The sequence below is a fragment of the Homo sapiens genome, chromosome 10 (assembly GCF_000001405.40).
Source record: "Homo sapiens chromosome 10, GRCh38.p14 Primary Assembly".
Taxonomy (NCBI): domain Eukaryota; kingdom Metazoa; phylum Chordata; class Mammalia; order Primates; family Hominidae; genus Homo; species Homo sapiens.
The window spans coordinates 96,504,321-96,529,209 of NC_000010.11; the positions used below are offsets into that span (position 1 = coordinate 96,504,321).

At 41.8% G+C, this 24,889-nt stretch overlaps 2 protein-coding genes across 3 annotated transcripts in view, besides 3 other annotated features; both read right to left on the reverse strand.

The window, feature by feature from the left end:
- Nucleotides 1–9,606, reverse strand: part of TLL2 (tolloid like 2) — a 149,319-nt gene extending 139,713 nt beyond the window's left edge. Inside the window, exon 1 of the mRNA NM_012465.4 lies at nt 9,191–9,606. Within this exon, the coding sequence (NP_036597.1) occupies nt 9,191–9,365 (175 nt within the window). The 5' untranslated portion in view covers nt 9,366–9,606. The remainder of the gene's footprint in view (nt 1–9,190) is intronic.
- Nucleotides 1,780–2,563: an enhancer, noted in NCBI's record as "H3K4me1 hESC enhancer chr10:98265857-98266640 (GRCh37/hg19 assembly coordinates)". NCBI's record gives its function as "activates a minimal SCP1, AML or CMV promoter by ChIP-STARR-seq in primed H9 embryonic stem cells {active_cell/tissue: H9 hESC(primed)}" and the evidence as "EXISTENCE:reporter gene assay evidence [ECO:0000049][PMID:30033119]".
- Nucleotides 7,678–8,197: an enhancer, noted in NCBI's record as "H3K4me1 hESC enhancer chr10:98271755-98272274 (GRCh37/hg19 assembly coordinates)". NCBI's record gives its function as "activates a minimal SCP1, AML or CMV promoter by ChIP-STARR-seq in naive H9 embryonic stem cells {active_cell/tissue: H9 hESC(naive)}" and the evidence as "EXISTENCE:reporter gene assay evidence [ECO:0000049][PMID:30033119]".
- Nucleotides 9,387–9,456: an enhancer, noted in NCBI's record as "active region_3827". NCBI's record gives its function as "activates an Ori minimal core promoter by ATAC-STARR-seq in GM12878 lymphoblastoid cells {active_cell/tissue: GM12878}" and the evidence as "EXISTENCE:reporter gene assay evidence [ECO:0000049][PMID:35858748]".
- Nucleotides 9,607–13,789: 4,183 nt separating the features above from the next.
- Nucleotides 13,790–24,889, reverse strand: part of TM9SF3 (transmembrane 9 superfamily member 3) — a 68,903-nt gene continuing 57,803 nt past the window's right edge. For both annotated transcript variants that reach the window (NM_020123.4, XM_011539976.3), the window contains exons 12-15: nt 23,711–23,857; nt 23,093–23,176; nt 22,893–22,969; nt 13,790–18,010 (exon numbers count right to left, since the gene is read on the reverse strand). In NM_020123.4, coding sequence (NP_064508.3) covers nt 17,943–18,010; nt 22,893–22,969; nt 23,093–23,176; nt 23,711–23,857 — 376 coding nt within the window. In that variant the 3' untranslated portion in view covers nt 13,790–17,942. The remainder of the gene's footprint in view (nt 18,011–22,892; nt 22,970–23,092; nt 23,177–23,710; nt 23,858–24,889) is intronic.

The window sequence follows — 24,889 nt, forward strand, 5'->3', positions numbered from 1 at the left end:
TGGGTATAGCTGGGCATGGTAGCTCAGGCCTGTAATCACAGCACTTTGGGTGGCTGAGGTGGGCAGATCACTTGAGGCCAGGAGTTCAAAACCAGCCTGGCTGATATGGCGAAACTCCATCTCTACTAAAAATACAAAAATTACCCTGATGTGGTGGTGCCTGCCTATAATCCCAGCTACTCAGGAGGCTGAGGCACAGGAATCACTTGAACCCAGGAGGCAGAGGTTGCAGTGAGCTGGGATCCCACCACTGCACACACACAAAAAGTCTCTGAGTATAGATGAGCTATCAGAATTGGCACCATTAGAAAACACAAATCCCTTAAAATCCCATAAATCCCTTAAAAATCACCAGGCTTTGAGTATTAGTCCATTCTCACACTACTGTAAAGATACTGCCTGAGGGCCAGGAGCAGTGGCTCACACCTGTAATCCCAGCACTTTGGGAGGCCGAAGTGAGCAGATCACGAGGTCAGGAGATTGAGACCATCCTGGCTAACACGTTTCACCGTGTCATCTCTACTAAAAATACAAAAAATTAGCCAGGCGTGGTGGCGGGCGCCTGTAGCGCCAGCTACTCGGGAGGCTGAGGCAGGAGAATGGCGTGAACCTGGGAGGCAGAGCGTTCAGTGAGCCGAGATCGCACCGCTGCACTCCAGCCTGGGCGACAGAGCGAGACTCCGTCTCAAAAAAATAAAAAATAAATAAATAAATAAATAAATAAATAAAAGATACTACCTGCGACTGGGTAATTTATAAGCAAAAGAGGCTTAATTGACTCGCAGTTCTGCATGGAGTCTGATGGAGAAGCCTCAGGAAACTTACAATCATGGTGGAAGGTAAAGGGGAAGCAGGCACATCCTACATGGGAACAGGAGAGAGAGAATGCACAGAGGAAACAGCCACTTTTAAACCATCAGGTCTTGTGAGAACTCGCTCACCATCACGAGAACAGCATGAAGGAAACCACCCCCATGATCCAATCACCTCCCACCAGGTCTCTCCCTTGACACGTGGGGATTACAATTCCAGATGAGGTTTAGGTGGGGACACAAAGCCAGATCACTTTGGTTGTTCAGATATTTAGTTTCCTGCCACTTGGAAACCTTGCTGGATTTCTGTGGGATGACAATAATTTTAAAAATAGTATTTACTGGATGCTTACCATGTTCAGACATGATTCTAAGTGCTTTCTCTGTATTAATCACTAAATCCTCATAATAACCCTATGTGGGTAGATATTAGTAACCACATTCATAGATAAGGACAGTGTCCCAGCAAGCCTAGGCAGGTTTGCCTACAGCCGTGGAGTGGTAGAGCCAGTATTTGAACCCAGGAAATTTGCCTCTAGCACCTGCTGCTTTGCCCACAGGCTGTCTCAGAAGTATGGAAAGCAGTGCTGTTCATACAATTCAGTTCACTCCACACACTTGTTGGGGCATAACAAGTTCTTCAAGGGCCACATAACTCTAGCACTGTATATTTCATATTTATTGAGTGCTTCTGTTTTCTAGGCATGGTACCAAGTGCCTTCATATACAAGCCTGTTAATCAGAGTTTCTATTAACGGCATGATACACAAACGGACACTGAGGCTTTGAAGGCTGAGGGACTTGCTCCAGGTCTCACCGTTAGAAAGTGACAGAGCTGAGGCTGGGCGCGGTGGCTTGTGCCTGTAATCCTAACACTTTGGGAGGCTGAGGCGGGTGGATCATGAAGTCAGGAGTTTGAGACCAGCCTAGCCAACCTGGGGAAACCCTGTCTCTACTAAAAATACAAAAATTAGCCAGGCATGGTGGCGGGCGTCTGTAATCCCAGCTACTCAGGAGGCTGAGGCAGGACAATCAATTGAATCCGGGAAGTGGAGGTTGTAGCGAGCTGAGATCGTGCCACTGCACTCAGGCCTGGATGACAGAGCGAGACCCCATCTCAAAAAAAAAAAAAAGAAAAAAAAAAAAGAAAAAAGGAAAGTGACAAAGCTGAGAAGAAAAACCTAAGTCAGCCCAATTCCAAAGCATGGGTACAGAACCACAACATGTCAGCAAGGTCTTTGTTCTCCACAGTCTGGGGAGGGGCCAGGTGCTCAAATAACCATAGTCCAGGCTGGGGAGTGCCCTGAGAATGGCTGGAGAACCAGTGGTCAGCTGGATGGCCAGAGCTGAGGTGCTGCTGCATGAGATGCCCTGCTGACCTGTCTATAATCAGCTTCCATCTAGGAGCCTCTTCTGCTGAGCAGGCTGAGCCTAGCACTGGGTAGGAGGCTCCCCAAGGGCAGGGTTGAGTCTAACCAGCACTTAGACCCTCAGCACCCATGCCAGGCCCACATGCCAGGTGCACTGCATATCTGGGGCTGTGTGGATGGCTCGGTGGCATCATGCCTGTCCCCACTCCTCTCCTCTCGCTGTGTGGGACAGCAGAGGAAAGGATGCTCTCCCAACACACATGCCACCCTGAGGGAAGGGTGTGCTGCACTGATCACTACACTACTGGGCGGGAGAGAAAAGGAAAAAACAAGTTCCACTGATGTAAGACTTGGAGACCTACCTTTGATTATGTTGTTGTGGACTTTTCTGTCTACCAAATATGGGCTCTGTCCACAGAGGCATCAAAGGATGAGCAAGGTCAGGGAGAAAATCTAGGCCTGAAGCTCAGTTTCCTCATATACAAAATGGCAGCCATTGCAGCTGCTTGTCTGCTCTGGGGGCTGTGCTGAGGGTCAGTGGGTGGTGTTCTTGCTGTCATTCAGCTCCCAGAGCAGCCCCCTCCAAGAGGGGCCTGATACGTCTTCCTTCCTGGTCCCCCCTTTCCCAGACTCTGGCACCCCAGTGTGAGACCTGGCCACTATTGAGAACTCTAGGCTCTGCTTGGCATTGGATGGCCACACACTCCACACCTGCTTGGCTGAGCTGAATTCTCAGCTCGAGCAGCTGTGCCAGCCAGCCAACTGTTCCTCAGGGGCTAAGGCCATGAGCTGCCTCCCCCCAGCTCTGCCCCTGGCCCTGCCCTCATCTGCATTTACTTAAAATCTTTATTGAGATATAACTCACATGCCATAAAATTCACCCTTCACTACTTTTGAGACTCTGTTTAACCACAATGATCAGGTCTGAAATTAAGAATCTCTAACCCTAACTATACTAGATGAAATAAATTACTCATTTATTGCAAAAATTCAATTTCCTCTACAGCATTTCAACAAAAGAGTTCAAGAAGTGCTGTGAGCACCTGCTCTGTACTCTGATAATGTATATATCATTATATACTTGCCTTGTGCCAGATACTGTGCTCAGCACTTGACAAACATTGTATTATTTAATCCTTATAGCAATCCTGAAAAGTGGATATTACTAGTTCTTTTTTTCCCTGAGGCTCAGGGAAGTTGAGTAACATACTCAAGGTCACACAGGCTTGCCTAGGTGGCAGATTTGGAATCTAGGTCTGGCCTGCATCAGAGCCTGTGCTCTTAACTGGCTCACACCCTGCCCCATTGCATGCTGGTGTGTGAAATTGTGTAGAGAAGGTGGACTAGATTCTGCACCTGTATCATCTGGAGAAACAAAAAAGACAAACATTTAACTCCAATATTGCCCTGAAATATTTTAATTCCATCAAATCAGCACCTGCCCATCAGCAAGGACATCATAACAAGTTAGAATGGAAATAAAGATGTAAAAATATCAGCCACCCTTACCTAGGTGTGGCCCATGGTGTGGGAGTCTGATGGGCAGGTGGAGTACCAGAGAGATGGCAGCTCACATTCTGGGGATGGGTCATGCCAGGGAGACAAGCTTCCAGGAGGCACCATGTGAGCCTCATCTCTGCTTAAAAACCAGGATGCCCGCCCTGCCATGAAGGTTGGCGACTCCAGAGGAGCACTGCCCAGGTCTCTACAATCTTCCCAATGCCACTCTGGGCACTTTTAGGAGTCCCTGGCACACTGGCCCAGAGCTGCTTCAGTTTCTAGGCTGACAGTAACATGAGGGCTGCTGGCAACAGCTGCCCCAGAGAGGGCTCTTGGTGAGCCCCAAAATGAAACCTGATTGGTAGGATGTCTTGGAGAGAATGGCAGAGTGAGGTGAAACACCAAATTCCAGGCAGAAGTAAAGTCTGAAGTGTGGGCTTACCCTCACTACTGGTTCCTGAGCCATAAGACAAGAGGGACCACCAGCTATATTTATCCTATCCTAACATGGGACCCACAGCTGTGAAGAAGGCCCTGGTATTTACCAAGCCATCCACTGAAAAGTGAAGCTGGCTATCAGGCAGTTCCCTTAGATTTAATAAACCCAAAATGCTATACAGCATTTTCATATCATTTGAGCCTCATGTAGACAATTTTTGAGTCACATACCCTCAGCTCACCTCTGGGCAGTTCCATGCCTCTGCCACATGTCTCCCCACCTTTCTGCTTGAGAACTTTTTCTAAATCTGTAGAGCCCTCTATTCCTGGATATTCAGGGAAGTTAATGCCTCGGGGAATGTGGCAAGTCATCTTTTCCAAAACTGGCCGCAATGACATCTCTCATTTCATGTGCCCTTTTAACAACATGATATTGACATGCCTCCCACTGGAGAGGTGGGTCTGTGCTCTCCCACCTTGAATCTGGGAGGGCTTGTGGCCGTGATGGAAGTGATAATGTGTGACTCTGAGGCAAAGCCATCAAAGGTCACACAGTTTCCATTTGGTTCTCTTGGGATGCTTGCACTTAGAATCCAGCTGCCATGCTTCGAGGACACCCACATAGAGAGACCACATGGAGAAGCCACCTATAAGTGTTCTGGCCAACAGGTCCCAGGCAACAGACAGCCTCAACAGCCAGACACATGAGCGAATGAGCCTTCAGATAACTTCAGAACCCACTTGTTGAGTCACCCCAGCCTGTAAGTCTTCCTAGCTGAGGCTTAGCCATCATGGAACAAAGACAAGCCTCCCCTGCTGTGTCTTTTCTACATTCCTAATCAACAGAATCATGAACATAATAAAACAGAGGTTGTTCTACCCCACTGGTCTGGAATGCTTTCTTACAGAGGAATAGAAACTAGAGCAAGGAGCAGACAGTGAAGGGCAGCAGGCTTTGGATAAATGCTGCAGCCTCCTATTCTCTGGGCAGATAATTTGGGAGGCATTCTGTAAGCTCCTCAAAGGCGCTCCCAGTGGGGTCAGGGGCCCATTGCCTAAAGCAGCTACCTTGATTCCACTCCCTTCATTGGATTTCCTTCCTCCCTGTCTCATTCCTCCTGCTCCCTTAACCCTGCTTCCTGGGATCACCTTCCACATGAACTATCTACACCAAAGTCCTTGTGTAAGGCTCTTCTTTCTGAAGAATCCAACTAAAACTGGCCTTGGCCGGGCACGGTGGCTCACGCCTGTAATCCCAGCACTTTGGGAGGCCGAGGCGGGCAGATCACGAGGTCAGGAGATTGAGATCATCCAGGATAACACGGTGAAACCCCGTCTCTACTAAAAATACAAAAAAATAGCTGGGCATAGTGGCAGGCGCCTGTAGTCCCAGCTACTCGGGAGGCTGAGGCAGGAGAATGGCGTGAACCCGGGAGGCGGAGCTTGCAGTGAGCCGAGATCAGGCCACTGCACTCCAGCCTGGGCGACAGAGCGAGACTCCGTCTCAAAAAAGTAAATAAATAAATAAATAAATAAGTAAATAAAACTGGCCTTTTGTCTACCCTGCAAGGCAAGCATTTTTGCTCCCACTCCCATTTTGTAGATGAGCAGACTGAGACATGGAAAGGTAAAATGACTTGCTCAAGGCCACACGGTGAGTAAGGCGGGGCAGGGTCAAGATAAGAACCTAGGCCTTCTGACTTGAAATCAGCTTAAAACTTGTGGGTGAGGATAGGCAGGCAGGCAGGAACAGTCCTCCCAAGCTTTGCTGTCAGAGGCATGGTGGTTGGAAGAATGCCTTGTGATTTACTGCCAGTTGAACCCTTAGCTGTATTGACAGCATCAGAAGAAAAACAACTGGCAGAGCTATGGATGACCAGACAGAGAACACCCCCCAGAAGCCCCATGCCCCTCACCAGCCCCAGGCCAGGAGGGCTTCACAGACTAACTTCCACTCCCCCGTCACTTGATTTAAAAGTCATCCCTTTTTACAGCATCAAATAGATTGTCTATTAGCAAATTTAAATTTTCCAGCTTAAAACCTGCTTTAAGGTCAGCATGAAGATATTCTTTCCATCAGTTTCTAGAAAATCCATTTATAAAAAGTATCTAACTATATTTCAAGCACTGTTCTAAGTACTTTATCAGGAATCATCCCCATTTACAAATGAGGAAGCTAATGCCCAGAGAAATCAAGTGATTTGCCCAAGGATACACAGCTTGTAAGTGGCAGAGTAAATGGTAAAAATGGTATTAAAAATTGCAAAAGTAGTGAAATGGTAAAATTAGAAATGGTAAAATTACCAGTTTGTTCAGCTTCTAAGAGGTTGGGCTAGAACCAAAGATCATAGACTCATAGAACACTGGATAGGAAGCAGCCAGGGGGCTCACACTGAAGTGCTTGCAAGGTATGAAGTAGGCCCAGGGCAAGACGGTTGATGAGGACCAAGAGCACAAGCTCTCTGGACATGTCACTTTGTAATTCTAACAAGGCAGACATTTTCATTCTGCAGGTAAGGAACTGAGGCCCAGAGAGGAGGGGAGTCGTCCCGGTAACACAGATCCTGAAAAGCCAGGAACAGATTCAAGACCCTCCCCTCTGCATTCTGAGTCCACAGTAGGAATGGAGACCCACACCAAGAAGGGACAGTGGGAGGTGTTTTAGCTTTGCAGCCCTGAGGCAGGTCCTAAAAGGAGAGCTTCTGGCCAGAAGAGTCAGGGAGTTAGGATTTCACTGAGATAGAATGGGAGGCTGCCCCTAAAGGTTTGCCTTAAATATGCAACCAGGAAATGCAGTGTCCCGCTAGCCAAGAGGCAAGTCCTTTCTCTGAGACTTCAGTACACTGATGAACTGCTTGCTGGCCTTCCAGACAGCTGTTCTCCAGGTCAGGCAATTTCCAAGAGGATGGGCGGACTGAGATGTTACCTTTTCCCCCAGGTTGTCCTTATCATCGCCCTCTTCTGGCCACTCTTAGCATCAGTGTAGCCCAGGGAGAGGCCAATGAGTTGGGAGAATTCAAGGAGTCTGAGGAGGGTGCCTGCAGCTGGCTGAAGCCACACTGGCCATATCCTCTGCCTTCCAGCCCTGCCTGTGCATCCCATTCTGTCTGTGAAGAATCACAGAATATGCGTGCCCCTGATTATCTTGCATTTTCTCTAAAATTACTGGGGAAAATGAGGCTGTAACAGGCAAGCCTGCCTCAGGGTTATCCTCCAAGGCTGAGACGGGGAGCTGGCATGCCTCTTTCACATCTGGATTCACAAGTGCCCAGACCAGCACCCAGCATACTGGAGATGCACAATACATTCCTGAGCAAATCAATCACTTCCCCACTCCGGGCCTCAGCGGCCCACACTGCCTCCCAGAGTCCCCAGGTCACACCCAGCAGGGTCTAGGATCTGACAAGTGGGGGAGGTGGTCCAGCCACTCCCTTTATCCCACACCTATTTTCCCAGCTTCAGTGGCCCTCTTTTCAGGGCCAGGCTGCCATTCCAATAGTGCTCTGGAGCCTCTTCTCCCTGGCCTTGAATTAGGTCCCATAAGGAACTCATGGTACCTGGGCCAGGCATGCTACCTGCTGAGGTTTTCTCCAGTTGTCCAGGAACCAACTCCTCTGCCCACCTTCCTAACTCAGAAGCCCCAAGAGATACAGCAGTAGGTAGATATTCTGCAGGAAACTTCCCTTACTAAGACCAGGCCCCTCAAGACTAGTTTGATCTCAAACCTTCACAAGATTCTCAAGTCTCACAAACTCCTCCTGCCTCCTAGTAACCTGGTCTTCCCCAGACTTTACCCAGTTCTGACCCTCCCAACCCCCAGCCTAGACCCGAGCCACTGCAGTGATAGAAACAATAAAAAATAACGACAATGCCATCATTTCACTTGCAGAGAATTTTCCCACAAATCACCTGAGTCCTCCTATAATTACTGCCACCAATTTAGAGATGAGTAACCTGGAACTGATAGAGGTTTCCAGGGCGTGAAGGGGCAACCACTGGCCCACAGGCCCCGCAGAGACCTGGCCGGCCACAGCCCCGGGAAGGAGCACCTGCCTCGCCGAGGGTGGAGGTCGCGCTCTTCCCTCCCCATTCTTCTCTGCCGACCGCCAAGTGAAACGGGGCCCCACAAAGCCGGAGATAAACACCACTACTCGCGGGACACTGGCCATGGGCCAGGAGCGTCTGTGCGAGCCTCTGAGCCCAGCATCTCCCTGGGAGCGTGAGCGTGAGCACCCCTCTGTCCGTGCTGGAACTGCCCCACACTCATCAGCTTGCTGGAACATGCGCTTGGCCCTTCGGAGGCTAACGCTTCAACGACTCCAGCTCGGAAGCCGCTCCCCTCAGGACTCACGAGCCGATCAGTGGCCCCGAGGAAGCGGGAGCTGCAGCGCCCGGGCGGCGATTGCGCCCGAAAGGCCCGTACGTCCTGGGGCGCCGCTTCCTGGAGGGATTAGAGCACCTGCCGGCTTCCATCTCCGCCCGCCCAGAGCGACCCTCAGGCCGGTACCGCTACAGGGAAGTTTCCGGCTATTCGAGTCTTGCTCATTCTCCCTCGGCGACCCCTTTCCTTTTGCCCGCTGTGACGCTTTTCTTTTTAAAATCTCCCAAGAGTAACCACAGATCTTGGGAAACTTTGCGCGAAACTTAAAAATGCTGTGAAATCGGAGCCAGGAACTCCATCTGAGCCTCGGAGCGCCGCGCCCAGTCCAGCTCTTCTGCTCCGGCCCGGAGCGTCTGGCGGTGGCCAGTGCTGCCCACTCGCTGTCAGGCGGCCCTGGCACCCACCCCGGCCCCTGGGCGCCCTCTCGGCCTCTGGCACCCGCTCTGATTCGCTTTGGGAACGCGCCAGCTGTCGCCCCCCGGTGCGCACCGCAAACCTGGGGCCGGGACATCCCAGCCTCGGAGTGGTTTTTAAGCAATTCCTCGGAGGCATTGTCTTCCGGGGGAGCCGGGGATCTCAGGGGAGGGGAGGGGAGACCCGCCCCATAGACGGTAGTGCAGGCTTGCCCACCACCTCATTTGCATTTCAAAGGCAAACTTCTGCGGGACTTCCCCAGCGGCGGCACCTACCGGCTTTGCAAGGGTCGTGGTAATGCTCCAGCTGCTGCTCCGTGCCCTCCTCGCCGTCCAGCTCTGAGTAGTCTGCGGTGGCGTCCGGGCGCTCCCCGAGTCCCCCGGCGCCGCGAGGCAGCGGCAGCAGCAGCAGCAGTGACACCAGGGCCCCAAGTGCAGTCGCCCGGGGCATGGTGGCGCGGGGCCGGCTGGGGCAGAGGGAGTTGCGTGCACGAAAGCTCAGCTCGGCCGAAAGACGGCGCACACTGGGTCGGTCGGCTCCGGCCGGGACTCGGTGGTTACACAGGGCTGCTGGGCATGGCTCAGGCGCGGAGCAAGCGGAGCGCGGCGCCCCCTGTCTTCGTCGAGGCAACCGGGAAGCAGCCGCTCGGAGCTACTTGCCCGGCGGCCGAGGCTGCGGCGGCTGCGAGTGTGGCGGTGGCGGCGGTGGTTGGAGCAGTGGCCGCTCCGCCCCTCTCCACCAGGGCTGGACCACACAGCCTTCGCCCGGGGCCCTAAGCAGCCAATCACTCGGGCGCCCGAGGCGAGGCCCCTCCTCTTCCCGGCACCTTCGCAACTTCGGAGGCAGGCGAGCGAGGTGAAGATGCTGGAGCCAAAGGCCGGGGCCAGCTCCGCACCCACCCAGCCTAAGGCGCCTGCCCGGGGCGCCACCTCGGCCTCTGGCTCCCGAGAATGCTGCTCCTGAAGATCGGGACTGGGCTTCTCGCCTTGTTTTATTTCCATAACTCACTTTACAACTCCCCGATGCACACGTGGCCAGAGTGGTTAGAACTCGGAGCGCTGGACCAGGAGCCCTGTGTACGGATTCATGTCACTACCAACTGGCTATGTGCATTCGGGCAGCTGCTTCTTTGCAGGGATGAGTGAATGTCTCTCAGGTCCCTCTCAGCAAAGAAAAAAAAATCGAGGATTTCGATTCTCTCAGCTCTCTCCACATTCCCTAGTCGAGCCATGAAGGGCGCTTGCTGGCGGCAACTAACCTAACCTAGTGGCCGGCGATAGGTAATGAAAAAAGATTTAAGTCCACAGATTTCCCCTCTCGGTGACCCTATCTTTCAGTAAAACCGTCTAAGATGCTTCACACAGTCAAAAAGACACAAATGAACAGCTGTACGTGCTACTTGTGTTAAATTACAGACATGTTTTTATTAAATAAGCCACTCACCGTTAACTTGATGGAATAAAAATGACCAATTTCTGAAGTCTGTTTTTTTTTTGCCAATTAAAAACATATGCCCAAATAATGACACTAATCAAGAGCTATTTGAAACCCACTTCTATTTTGTACCTAAAATGTAAAAATTCTCAGAACTGAGCCATTTTGATTTAGAGATATAAAAAGTATTATTACTGTGAGGCTTTTCAAAGATCTTTTTATGCAAGTAAAATGGCCCTGTCAACTATAACACACAAATGTGTATGTGTAGAAATGTTTTGCATCATGCCCAGTAGAATCTTTTTTCAATTTAAACTGCAAGCAGAAAAATGGACAACTTTCCTTTTGGATTTCCACATGGTTTCACATACATCAATGACAAAATAGTCAACAGGGAGCCCAGAGCTGGGCTTCACATCAAACTCTGAATTTCTTGCACTTATGGTCATCTGTCTTCTCATCTATCAACTGGGATAACAAGTCCTTCACACAAGTAAAGGGCTAAAAGTTAACTATTGGAAGGATGCTACTCATATTTTGTCCTCGTTCTTAGAAAGAAATGCAATGTTGACCCTGCCTCATGCTGTTTTCATCAAATGGGCACATAACATACAGAATGGAGCCAGACAGGGCAAGATCTGGTTAGAAACTGGCAGGTGGAAGGAAGGAATTTGAAGAGGATAAATGCCACCAAATGGCAGGAAGGCCAAGTGGCCAGCGCATAGGCAAAGGAGTGGGAGGGGGTTGAATGGCATGCATTTCTGCCTGAAAGCCAGGAGTCAAACCCAACGCCATAGCTCTCTGCATTCACCCCCATGAAGGTCATCACCTCTCAGTAGACGAGTCCAAAGAGTCAACATCTAAAAGGCCTAACAAACTTCTGTGACACTTCCAGGTCTCCAGATGGCACTAGGCAAACCACCAACTGGCTTCCTTATTAGAAGGGAATTCCTCTGGAAAATAGACATGAGAGGCCACCTCTTGTGCAAGCAATGAGGTTGTGAGCTTTTATGACCTCTAATGCCCAGCTGGTGAGTAGTGGCCAGGTCTTCTCACCAACACCCTTTGTCCAAATATTTTGAAGACAGTGGTGTTGAAGAATGAACAAGCTGCACAGTTTTATGTTATTAAAGTAGAAGGCCAGTTTAGTTGCTACTTTGGCTATCAACCAATAAATGGCAACAAAATATTTGGTTCACTAGAAAGATCAGAAAAGAATAATTGAAAAGGGACACCATAAGATAGAACTATAAAAGCTAAACTCTAATCTGGGTTTAGATGATTTTTATAATGTATTTTTCTTTAATTTAAAAACCATGAAAAAACTGGAGGTAGAGTAACAGGCTTTATGACATAAAACTGCTCAACTTAGCTCCATTATTACATTAATAATTACTTCAGGGTTTCCTCTGCCATATCTCTGGGTCCTCTGTGAACCTGAACAAGTGTTTTTCTCCTCTTAGATGTCCATCTCCCACCCAGAGTAACTGGGTTCTCTTGCCCCTTCAAGTCTACTGAGTTTTATCCACCTGGGCCACTTTCTCATTTTGCCTTTCCAAGCGACTATACATGATAATTTGTTCCAGGCCAGCTCATTCCTTCATTTACATTGCTCACCACTGAGAAGATACTCAGTTTTCTGGAGAATGTAATTAAAGATACTACAATTTTTAGCAGCTGCTTAAAACCCTTCCTGGCTCTCCAAAACCTTTATTCAAGTTCTTCAGGGTGGCATAACAGGTCCTCCGTCCATCATCAAGCCTTCCTTTCACCTTTCCAGTCTTGGCTCCTTACAACTCCCACATTCCAGTCTTCTGGCATTAAAACACCCTGCAGTCATCCTAACAAGGCTGCTTCACACCCTCCATGTCTCTGCCTGGGACACACTGATAATCGCATATCCCACATCCTCATGCCAGCATTGCAGCTACCCTATCTGTGACACTTACCTATCCAGGACTGCCCTTTCTGGTCTATAACTGCAGCAGACCTCTCTGACCAACCCCAACTTAGAATCACCTTCCATGTCTCACTTTCTAGACTCTCCCTTTTCTTCACTGACCTTCAATATTAAGTCTTGCAATCCTAGTGGCTTAGACTGAGACACTAAGAATAACCATAACATTGGCCAGCCCCACTTATATCAATTTTCCCCTGCAACCATCTCCCACATTTTTTTCCTTTGAAATCGCTGTCAAGCAAAGTAATCGTGCAAACTTTGAAAATCATTTCAAATAATCAAGTAATTTAAAATACATTTGTAAACTACACTGATTCCACATGTCCCAATTAGGCTTATTCCCCCCTTTTCTAATGTTATATTGCAGAGTAACAGTTCCACAAAAATAGTTCACTTGAAATCAAGAAGCTGGCTGCATACGAGTCCCTTCTGTCCTTAGTTTTCCAACCAGACAAAAAGTGTTCATTAAAGAAATAAAAAGTAATCCAAATTTGTACCAATGATGTGGCTAACGGGAATTGCCAAGTACAGGTGTTGACTGAGGCACCTAATAAAACTAGGGGAAAAGAACCAAGGAGGTTGGTCAGGATTTTTAAAAACTAGTCAGAAACGGAAAAACAAAACATACAAATAGACATGGAGAAATTAACCACTGATTTCAATGTGGCACAATAAAAATAATCTCTTCCATTCGTATAGAACACTAATTTTCAATGTGACTTCTACATATATTACCTGCCTCCCAGGCTAGAGAGGGTGACACCCCCATTTTACAGTTACAATAGTCAAGACAACAGGGCCCTGAATCTTGATGACTTCTGGGCTAAACATAAGAGCACCTTTAGCTGTGGTTTCTTATCCATAAAACACAGCTATCTACTCTACCAGCTTCACAGGATGGTTGTGAAGGAACAAGTGAAACTGCTTTGAAAAAGTAGTAAATGCTAAACAAATGCAAAGAATCATCAATCAGAGGATGGCAGGCAAATAGATGGTAAAGTCTGAGTGTAAGAGTCAGAATAGGTATACAAAAAAGTCAAAAGAATGGCAATAAAAGAAAAATCATTCTTAAGAAAGACCAATCTTATTCACTGGACCATTCTCTCAACTTTACTGTATATTACAGTTCACTTTTGAAATACAAATTTAAACCTTAAATTTTAAATACATCATTCCAGGGGTTAGCGGACTATGGCCTGTGGGCCATTTTTGTGAAGTTATACTGGAACATAGCCATGCTCATTAGTTTATGTAGTCTACTATGGCTGCTTTGGTGCTACAACGATAGTTTCAACAGAGACTGCATAGCCCTCAAAGCTGAAAGTATTTACTATCTAGACCTTCACAGAAAAAGTCTGCAGACCCCTGCTTTAATTGTGGAAAACTATTACTAAGTTATTCATTTGCCTGTCAATAATGGGTTATCCCTTATGCTTGGTTCATGTTTCAAAAAGGAAAGAAATAAGGAATCCAAAGGAAGTACATTTAACTTTTTATTACTTTTTAAAAATCCAAATTCAGATAAATTAACACACTAGGTTAGAACCTCAATTGTATTTGATACATTATATACTGGATTTCTATTACTAAAAAGCCAGTTGGAATATGGCCTATACGAACCAAAGAGTGTATACAAAATGGAAGTGGTCATCAGGCAATAATTGTTTCCTTGGAACTCTGCACCGACTGTCCATGCTCTGTGGGGACTTACACATTCAAGTTTGACAGTTGAAAAACCAACTGGAGCTGCTTTTCCAAGAATGTTCTGTTGTCCTTCAAATAGAATTCCATGTTATTTCTTTCTTGCCTTAAGCTCTTATATCTTTCAAATGACCTAAGCTGATGAACTGGAGTAAACACAAACTGCTGCAGTTATCAATTAGCAAGCCTAGTTCACCAATACTTCAAAATAAACAGACTTCACAAGTTTATTTCCATTCCTAACAGTGGAATAATAACTTAATTTTGTTTACTTTTGTCTTTGTAGATTTCTGTCTGCAGCTCCAGTAAGAATGCCAAATCAGATGGCTTTTAGGAAATGCTCATAGGAGAGAACTAGAGTTATTCCTCACACTGAATTTAAGTCTTACCAGATTTCTGCAGGTTCATATGTTAACGTTCTGATCTAGCCTACCTGTAAGTCTAGTTTATTTCTGTACACACTTCCAAATACTCTTCATAAATTTTCACTTCTGACTGAAATATAACACCTTGATTGATAGTTTCATAACTATAGAATTTTAGTGAAGATATAAAACATTAATGAATACTTGTGTTTTAATACATCACTACTCCTATTTATTACATGTTCCAATAAACCAATAGAATGAAGCACTAAGACACGGTGAAATCTAAACTTAAAACCCAGATGGAACTGCCATATAGATTACAAATGGGTCTCCCCACCACAGAATTCATATACAAAAGCCCTTCGGTATGTAGCTTTTCCTGAACAAATACATTAATACACTTTTTGTTTTTTACATTTGTAAAAATTCAAGGTTTTAATAACATTTCTTTGCAAGACATTTGGTATAAGGTGGTTAATAAATATTAGGAAACAAACACTGTACCAAAATGGATATGACTTGTGAATAAACCCTAAATAAAGTGGCTTTTGGAAGAACTGGATTTTGCAGCAACCAACTTTATAAAGAGGTCCATCCACTCTCAATGGAAAACACCCAAGCATACCATTCACTAGGTTCGGATATCACCATAATATAATGAATTCTAAGAGTATGGGGTTTGATTTATGGGCAACCCCAGTACAATCTAGGAGCCCAACATGATGAAAAATACTAAAAGAATGCTTCACCATCCCTCAGGCCATTACATTTCCACCTTATCCTACTCTTGTATTAGGATATATGTATACAAATGTCAACTACTAATGTAGTTAAATTTCAGGAGAAGCATGCTTAAAGATACACAAGGAATGTTTAGCCTTAGTTTTTGATAGTATTATCCAAAGTGTGAGTTGAAAGAAATTAAGCAAATAATGTTAACAAACGAAAGACAGATACACAGCATTAGTGGGGGTATAAAAACCTCACCTTTCAATTAACTTGAATAATGTTCTATTTTCTATTCTACAACTGAGCGCTAGGGAGCTAAACTATTTGTGAATTACATCTTCTTTAAGAAGACACACACACACGCACACACATACATACACTTATTCAACCCCTCTATGCAGCCAAAAACCAATACAAGTCCTTTTCTAAAAGACTTTAAAGGTGATTAATATTCATTTAATGCTCTTAATGTATTTGGAAATCAGAAAATTATTTTTCACCACAGATTCCAAAGAACTTCAAATAGAGCTCAATTTAGTAGAAAGAATTGGTGTACCTGAAAGCATTTAACCCACACATTTTCAATAAACCCTACATCTTACCTGCAAGATTCATATCATGAGAAACAAATTTCATTTTATTAAGACAAAACCTTACTGTCCAATTTATACTCCCATCAGACAGACTATGTATTGGTATGTTAAAAGTACTTTTGAATAAAAGTGGTGAGAAAGAAACCAAAAAAGTACTTTATATATAGTTAAAAGGTTACATAATATAGGCAACTAAATATTAACTTTTAGTTTCTTTTTTATAAGATCTTAAAGGCAAGTAAGAAGGAAGAGAAAATGGAAGTACCAATAAATTATATTTAATATACCATTTTGGCTTCAGAAGAGGATTTACCTACAGCTTCTGATCAAATTTGTTGGATCATATCAATCATACTTAAGTGGTAAGAAATCATACTTTTCACCTTTTAAAGGACTTACATGTCACAATATAGGATGTAGAGTCCATCAATAGATAGGTACATATTTTGTAATGAAAACATCTTGTGTAACTATTAATTGCATGATTTTCATATTAAGGTTTAAATACAGGTGTTTTGAGTCTTTCTAAAAATAACAATATAAAGTATTGTTTTAGGTGGTCATTTGCATAGCAAACTATTAAACTAGAAACTCAGTGGTTCTAGGAAAACTTCATATTATGAATAGTTCCAGAAAAATGTATTCAAATCACTTCTCTTACAAAACTGTAACCTTTATTTGTTGATCCAACAGTACGTTAACCACTTTTACCCCATCCCCACTTTACACGGTACACCAACCTGAACAGATTTTGTGCCACAATTTCATTCAAAGGGTTTGTCATTCACTTTATGATTGTGCTGGATAATCTAGATGTAAGCAAGTCTGGAGATTTTAAAATACGGGTCCCCTGTATGAGAGTAGCATAGTTTATAGCATACTTTTAAAAATGGCATTCGGTAATTTTGCCTTCTGGACAGAAAGATATCTTCAAATTGCAAACACATCTATTTCCACAAAACAATTTGGTCAGGAAATTTTATTTGAACATTCTAAAGCAATAATGCTTTAGATGTTACTTAAGTGTCCCAGACAGGATTAACAAAATTAAGTGTCTCTAAATTACAAATTTGGCTCCTGTAGGAGTCTCAGAAAATAAACAGAAGAAAACAACCCCCCTCCCAAAAGAAGTATGACACACACATTTTGAAGAAACCCCAATGTTTCATGCAATGGTAGGCAAGATGTAAAAGCCCACCCAAATCACACATTTCTACACCAATCATCATAAGAAAAAAGTACTCTGTAGTCGATCTGTACATCCAAATGCATTTGGGAATCTACACCTACGTTACATTATTTAATGTTATATACATTTATTACCCACCCCCCTTGTTTTTAATAATTTCTTATGTAAAACCTTCATTCAAACCCAAAAGATTTAAGACTAACTTGGGGGGAAAAAAGATAATCACTTTAGACATTCAGTTAAAATGTAGTTTATCTAAATCTCAAAATGTTTAATAAAAACAAGTATCTTCTCCATTTAACACTTTGCTTTCTAACTGTACAGTAAATTGCATTGTAGAGAGTACACTTCTGTCTTCAAACTGTATCTTCTTTGGATGGAATTAAGATGTAACTGTATAGTTTTAAGATAAATAAATGGGAAGTTGGTCCAACTAAGATGACAGCAGATATATTACATGCAGGATTTAATATTTTCTAATTCTCTCTTTTAAAAAAAAGGATGCTGTTGGATTGGGAAAAAAAAAAAGTCAAAAAAGAACCCAGATTCAATATATAAAAATGTCCCACAATAGGTCGACAATGGCAGTAAAAATAAGAGGAAAAAAGTAATCTTTCTGGAACATCATTTTTCAATAACATAGAAACACTAAGTGCCAGGAAGATTCCTATTCATGTAATTTTAGCATCCAAGTTTCCCTCTATTTATTTTATTGGAACAAATGCTTTAAATAAACTATTTGTCCTCTTCACTGAAGAGAGCTGGTCTATTTCATCTTTAATGAGCTAGTTTTTGGGAAGATTAGCCATGTACTGTAGTAATGCCTACTGCATAAAATCCAAGCATTTGCTGTGAACAGTTGGAGAAAGCAGTCAGGAAGAACCTAGGATCAATGGAAATAGATGTTACTTTAAGCCACCGACGAAAGAGAGACCCACAAAGTACCCAGTGTGTTAAAGCCCAAATCTCTTCTTGCGTTTGTTTGTTTTTGCTGTGCAAGTTCCACCCCTATGAAAAAGAAATTGATCCAAAGTTCCAGGTTTTCTTGGGTCTCTAGTCAATTTTCACATTAGTATAGATTTTTCGGACAAAGGCACTTGTTCCCATGTAACCAATCGCTCCTGCAAAGATAAAATAAGATGTTTTGAAACAAATACATACAGAGCAGTATCCATCATTTAAAAACACTAAATACTCTATGCTCTGGAAAGTTATTCTTTTTTAAAGAAAATATCCTTATGTTAGTATTCTCTCTGAACTTACTAAAACTGTATCATTTGCTTTGCAAATCACCTGATACCATAATACACTGAGTCTGACCATCATACGCCAAGTCTAATCAAGTAGCAATTATTTCTTGTATAATCAGTAACTACAGAATTAAAATACATCTCTTATAAAGCAAGAATAATTTGATAATGGCAAAAGGTTGTTAAATCAAAAAACATGCCTTCTTTGATTTGAAGATATACTATTCTAGGTCATTAAAGTAAAAATCAATATATCTTCCCAAAATCCAATAGATAAATAGTTAGAAGTGACTGAAAATTCTCTTAAGGAAGGACAGGGAACCATGTCCCAATAGCAGTTGAAGCTCTAGAGAAGAGGCATTTTCTGACAGCTTCTTTTTTATTTTTAAGTTGTAGAAGCTGTGTAGTTGGTAGTAGGGATGACATATTTGCGGGAATAGACAGGACAGAGAGGTAAGTGGGTCAGAAGTTTTGAAATGTTGTTTTTTAACAATTAGCCTCAACCAGAGCTTAAAACACCAGAAATCAGGGATGTTTGTTTTGTTAAGTAAAATATTTATCTCCTGTGTCTAAAAGAGTGCCTGGCATATAAGATACTTGGTAAATATTTGTTGAATGAATGAATGAACTAGATGGTTCTTTATTGCAAATATAGGTTGGTGCAAAAGTATTTGCAGCTTTACAATTACTTTTGTACCAACCTACTAAGGGCTCTTTAGGACAATGCAGTTGGTTATTGAACTGTCAGAGAAGAAATCTCCATTGGCCTCAGGAATTTATGATGTAGCCCAATATTATTGAAAGCTTAAAAGAAAACCTTCCATTAATTAGTAATATTAAGTGCACACACAAATGCCTAGTCATCCTTGAACGAATCTTTTAGTGAATCTTTTATTCACTAAACTGGTGAATGAAAGGCAAGAATCAAGCATCTCTCCTGTTTCTCCTATGTATGAACTATACCCCAAGGCTACCAACTGGTTGATGAAAGGAAGGTTATCCTTATGGAAGTATTCCAGCTAACAAATATAAAAGGAACAACAGAATTAGAATATTATAACCACTAATGAATTATTTGAGCTAGGCAATAACTATCAATGGCTGCTAACTTCACAAAGAAATAGAACCAGAAATTATGTGCTTTCCTGATAAAAGCTTACAAACCACCTGTTAAACATTCTTGGACAAGTATTCTTGAGTATGATCAAGCCTACAGATCTAACTACCACTTGAAGAAACTTTAAATGACACTTCAGCAATATAATCAGCAAAATCCAGAGTCTGGAAAATTCTACAGAAATTGTTTAAGTTTTAAAAATAAACTGCAAGTGAGAGAGAGAATATCTATAGACTAAAAGAGCCTTAAGAGACATTTCAGCCAAGCAATTCATGAATCTTAATTGATCTCAAAGCAAACAAACTATATTTAAAAAGAAGTCATTGCAAGTGTGGTAAATCTGAACATTAACTGAATTATTCCATCATATTAAGAAATTACATTTATCTTTCAGGGAGAGACATATACTGAAATATTTACACTTGAAATGACATAAGGTCTAAGATTCATGTCAGAATAAAAGGGGGGGATACAAAGTGAGAATATAAATAAAACAAGATAGGCCATGAGTTGATAATTACTGACACTGGGTGTTAGTACATGGGGACTCACTATATATAGTATTGTCCCTATTTTTGTATGTATTTCAAAGTTTCCCTTTATTAAATATTAAAATACAAAAAACCAAAGTGACAAAGCAACACTATTTCCACTTATTTTTGCAATGACATTTCTTTTATAATAGGAAATAACAATATTACATTTTAAAATATTGATAATGCATTTTAGAATAGTTACAATACAATTCTTTACAGGATAAGAGAAAAATCATTCAATTTTGTGAAAATATACCTGAATCCTTACGACACGAAAAGATGTATAAAATTTTAATTAGCATCAAAAATTTTAATGGTATAATACTAGTCCAATAACCAAATCCAATTTTCCAGACGTACAAAACATTGTTCCCCTTTGAGCAGAAATATGCTTAAAATCAAAACAGTTTCAACCTAGAGAATCATTTTTCCTAATCTTATGAGTACCTCAAGAATAAACTTACAAGGGCATGACTTTATAAAAAGAGAATACTGAATATGCCCTCTAGAAAAGTAAATATCTTAGGAATAATAGAGGTGCACTTTTAAACTTAATTCCTCAAAACAAAAATGCTATGCTCATAATATCCCACCTTAATGTAGTCATTTTTTCCTACATTAAAAAAAATCAACAAATATTTTTGTTTTAATTACTGACAAGCATTTTAGCAACATAAATTGATGGATATATATAATTTTTGTATTATGATGACATTCTAATGACTTCCAGTCTAAACAGTTTCTCCCCACCTGCCCCTGAAAAATGAAGTACTGAAGGCATATAAACCCATTAAAGAATAAATGCTGGGACATTGCCAGAACAGCAGGGAACTGTAAATGTGCCAAGGTTTTCAGGCAGCAAGATGAAATTTCAGCAGGAAAAGCACTCAAAAAATTTAGCTAGATTCATTCCATTTTCTTTGTAAATGTCAAGATGTTACCTCTCTGGGTCTTCCTAAGATCACATATAGAAAAAGTCAAGTCAAGAAAAATTTTTTTAACTCTCTGCATAATCGATTCTATACCTCACTGAATGCTGGTGATAATCAAGAAAAATCTCAGATAAAATAAAGAGGAGTCCAGTGAACAATACTCTGAAGAAAGGATGGCAAATAATAAGGAACCTTCTGACTGTCCAAGAATAGGGATGTTTCCACCTGACACAATGTAGTTTTAACCTTCAGTCCCTCTCATCTTTCTCTCAAAGTTGGTTACTAATTATCACAGGGAATGGCTATCACAGCAGCTATAAATAAAACATGTGACTATAACATAGAGAATGATCTTTCCTTGTGGAATGTTTCATTCACTACTTTACGGACAATCTCATTTGTGTGTGCGCACACACATGATCACATACATAGTGTATATGAACTGAACAGGCTCTTTTGATGGAGAAACAAAGCAATCTTGGTACCCCAAAGGTGTCCATAAATGTCATACCAAGACTTAGCTTTTAATAAGATTACCATATCTTATATATATCTTATATAGCCAAAGGTGGAATTATCAAATACACACATACATACATAAATAGCCAATGGCAAGTAACAGAAAAAGGAGGAAAATTATCCACTCTCTGGAAATGTTTCCACCATGATTAGTCCCGCAGCCTTACATCATTCCTACAAAGTAACCAAGGGATCAGTCTCATTTATCAAGTAAAACACATCATTCCTACAAAGTAATTAAGGGACCAGTCTCATTTATCAAGTAAAACACTGAGCCCAAAAAAAAGTGAGTTACTTGTATGAGTTTCCCTTAAGTTACCTCTGCCAGAACTTAGAGTCATAAAGTTGTTCTGAGATGAAAACACAAGGTGTAGAATCCCACAGAGACTGTGCAGAAACACAGACACAATTCCAGAGCAGAAGGAAGCCCAAGGACTTTCAGCCTTCATCAATAGCAGCAGCAGCTACCCCTCACTGAGCATCTACCAGCCACGTGATGTTTATCCACATTTAATCACTGAATCCTCTTTATAGCCCTATGAGGTAGGTATTATTTCTATTTTGCAAATGAGTAAAGTTGAGGAAGAAAGGTTAAATAATTTGGCCAGAGTAACATGGCTATTAAGTGGGGAGTTCACACCCAGAACAGACTGACCCCAAAAGGCCAGCTCTTTCCATATCTCACCATGTAAATGGCTATCGTTACTACCTAATAACAGTCCCAACACTACACTTGGTGCTTTACACACATGACACTATTCCTCACAACCACTCTGAAAGATATGCCCATTTTACAGATAAAAATGAGACTTAGAAAGGTTAATGTGACCTCCATGGCCATAAAAAAAGCTGAGCAACAGCATGGACATTTATTCCAGTGCTTTCAGGCTCTCATGCTTATGCCTTTCCCATTTATCATACTGTTTCCAAAAGTTCTTTATTTTCTAGCTATTTCACACATTCTAGAGATTCTATCACATGGTGAAAACTATTACCTCTTCCTTTTAATAGATGATTATGATAGATCCATAAATAGTGGTTTTATCCCCACTTTACAGAAGCTTAGAGAGCTTGGGGAACTAGATCAAGGTGGAAAGCATACATATGGTACAGCTAGAACTTAAGTCCAGTCTGTAGATACCCAAGTATGCAATCATAACAAGTAAACTGTGCTGTCTCCTAGGTGTCTCCTGGTTTCTCCAAGAATACTCTGAGAAGTTTCCAAACAGGAATCATTCAGGCAACACCTTAACATGCCTACATCATGATCTTCCATTGAACCTAAGCTTTAAAAAATGCCAATTCTCAAGCCAGGCACAGTGGCATGTGCCTGTAGTCCCAGCTAGTTAAGAAGCTGAGTCTCTAAAAACAATAAATAAAATGAAAAAGCCAATTCTCAACATGAATGAAAAACTGTGATATGAAATTCTGTGCTATACAGAATTACTAGAATTTCTATAAAAATAGAAATTAATAAGGTAATAAATTATGTTGTGGGGAAGAGTCAAAAGGACTGAAATCAGACTCGGGTTTATTTTGGTGTTTCTGATCAAACAACAGATAAAATTTCTTAATTTCCAATTACTGTATTTTTCGGATTTAGAGAAACTCAGATTTACTCATGATGTTCAAAGAATTTCAAAACTTACCACACATTATCCCCAAGGCTGTGCTAAATACCGCCATATATCCAAAGTAAAATGATGTTTGAAATAAGCCATACATCCTGAAATAAAACAAAATATATATAGGATATCCAGTTTTACTTTCAACTTAAGGCCTTAAATATTAGTATTTAAAGGACAAATTTAGTTTCCTAAATAAAAGGTAAAAAAATGTCTCCACTTACTTTGTTTTGAAAAAATAGTAGTAAAAGGAATACATGTAAACATAGATTGCAGTTGATGCAGCAGAGAGAAAACTTGTCCATTGCCTGGTGGGGGGAGGGGGAAAGAAGATAAATCTCTTTTGAATGAATGGCACTAAAACAAAGATTTTAAAGCAAAGAATTTAATAAAACATCCTTTAAAGTCCTTTAAAACTTATTTAAAAAACAAATGCATAGACATGGTATTCAAATTTATCAACAAGGAAAACATCTAAGAATTAGAAAGCTCAATCTTGAATTTTGTCAGATTCCCTATTACCAGTGACCATAAATACACCATTTCCTTTTTCATATCTAAGTTTCCTTGTGTTTAGAATGGAGCAATGCTTCTCATAAAACTCTTTTCATATCAAGCACTTTGTAAAAAATATTTCTAACACAGTACTCCATTAATACATTAAAAATTTGATATTTTTTCTCTAAAATATGTATCATTTTTATAACTGGAAAAAAATCCCTATGCTATTTTAAGTAACAACATTTCTATACAGCTCTTTACTCCACTTGATAGATTTCAAAGGAAATCTTATTTTAAAATATTATGGTTCCCCAAATTTCTATCCACAAATAGGTACTTACCACCGGTAATCTTCTGCATTTAGTAGAAAATATGTGCACACAATAGTCACACAGACAGTCACAATGCACAGGATAACCAGCACCAGCATCATGAAGCCATAGACATAATAGATCTTATATGCCCAGAAAGACGTGAAGATGAAATACCTAAGTAAATGCAATAAAGACACAGGTTTCCAGTCTTTATTCTTAAAGCTCACTCTGCTCTTCGTGAGTCTCACATTTTAGTTCTCATTTTTTTCTCACTTAATGACTTTCTTTCAAGTATCTTCCAACAGCTTCTCTTACCATGTCTTCATCAATTAAATCCACTAGAATTCTCTCAAAAAATATTTTCTTGGATAATCTTTGAAAAACAGATTCTTCAGTAGGGCATTCACCTCTACACAAACTGAATAAAACAGAAGCTTCAAGAAGTATAATGTAGAAAAGAACAAATGAAAATAGCTAAAAAATCCGTATTTGTATCCATATTGTTTTGTAGATACAACACAATTCAAGCAATGTAGTTTGTATTTTATTAAATAGAAAATAAAATAATAAGTAGAAAAATAAGTTAGAGCAATAATGTATAAAATTAGGAAAAGCAGGCCTGAAGAAGATTCACACTGTCTTCAGAGGACAGCAAGGGAAAAGGCTTTAAGATTTTTAATTAAGAAAAAGATCTTTCACTCTAATCCATTATCAAGTCATCACTAAATTACAACAGAGCCTTTCACCCTCTTTTTCTTAGTCACTATGGCTAATACTTTAAATGAAGGGGAAAGAACTAAGAAATGAAGTTGGAGAAGTGAACAGGGCCAGTTCTTACGTTATAAAGACCCTTAATGGCCATGTTATGGTGTTGGGACCTCACCTCAATTAAAATAAGAAGTGTTAAGTAAAGAAATGACATGACACCTTAAAAAGACCACTTTGGCTACCAAATGGGTAGGAGAATGGGTTTGAAGGTGGACAAAACAGAAGATAAGTTGAAGAAACAGCAGAGAAGTTATCTAGTGGAACACAGTGCCTGGAGAAGCACAAAGACATGTGGTTCAGAAGTACTGGGGACAGGGGTAGAAGGGAAAAAGAAGTCACAGGTCAAGTCTGAATAAAGGCACAAAGCATTGTCAGACTGGAACTAAAGAAGTTCCTGAACTGACTTTAATAAACCACGAGTTACAGAGACACACACTC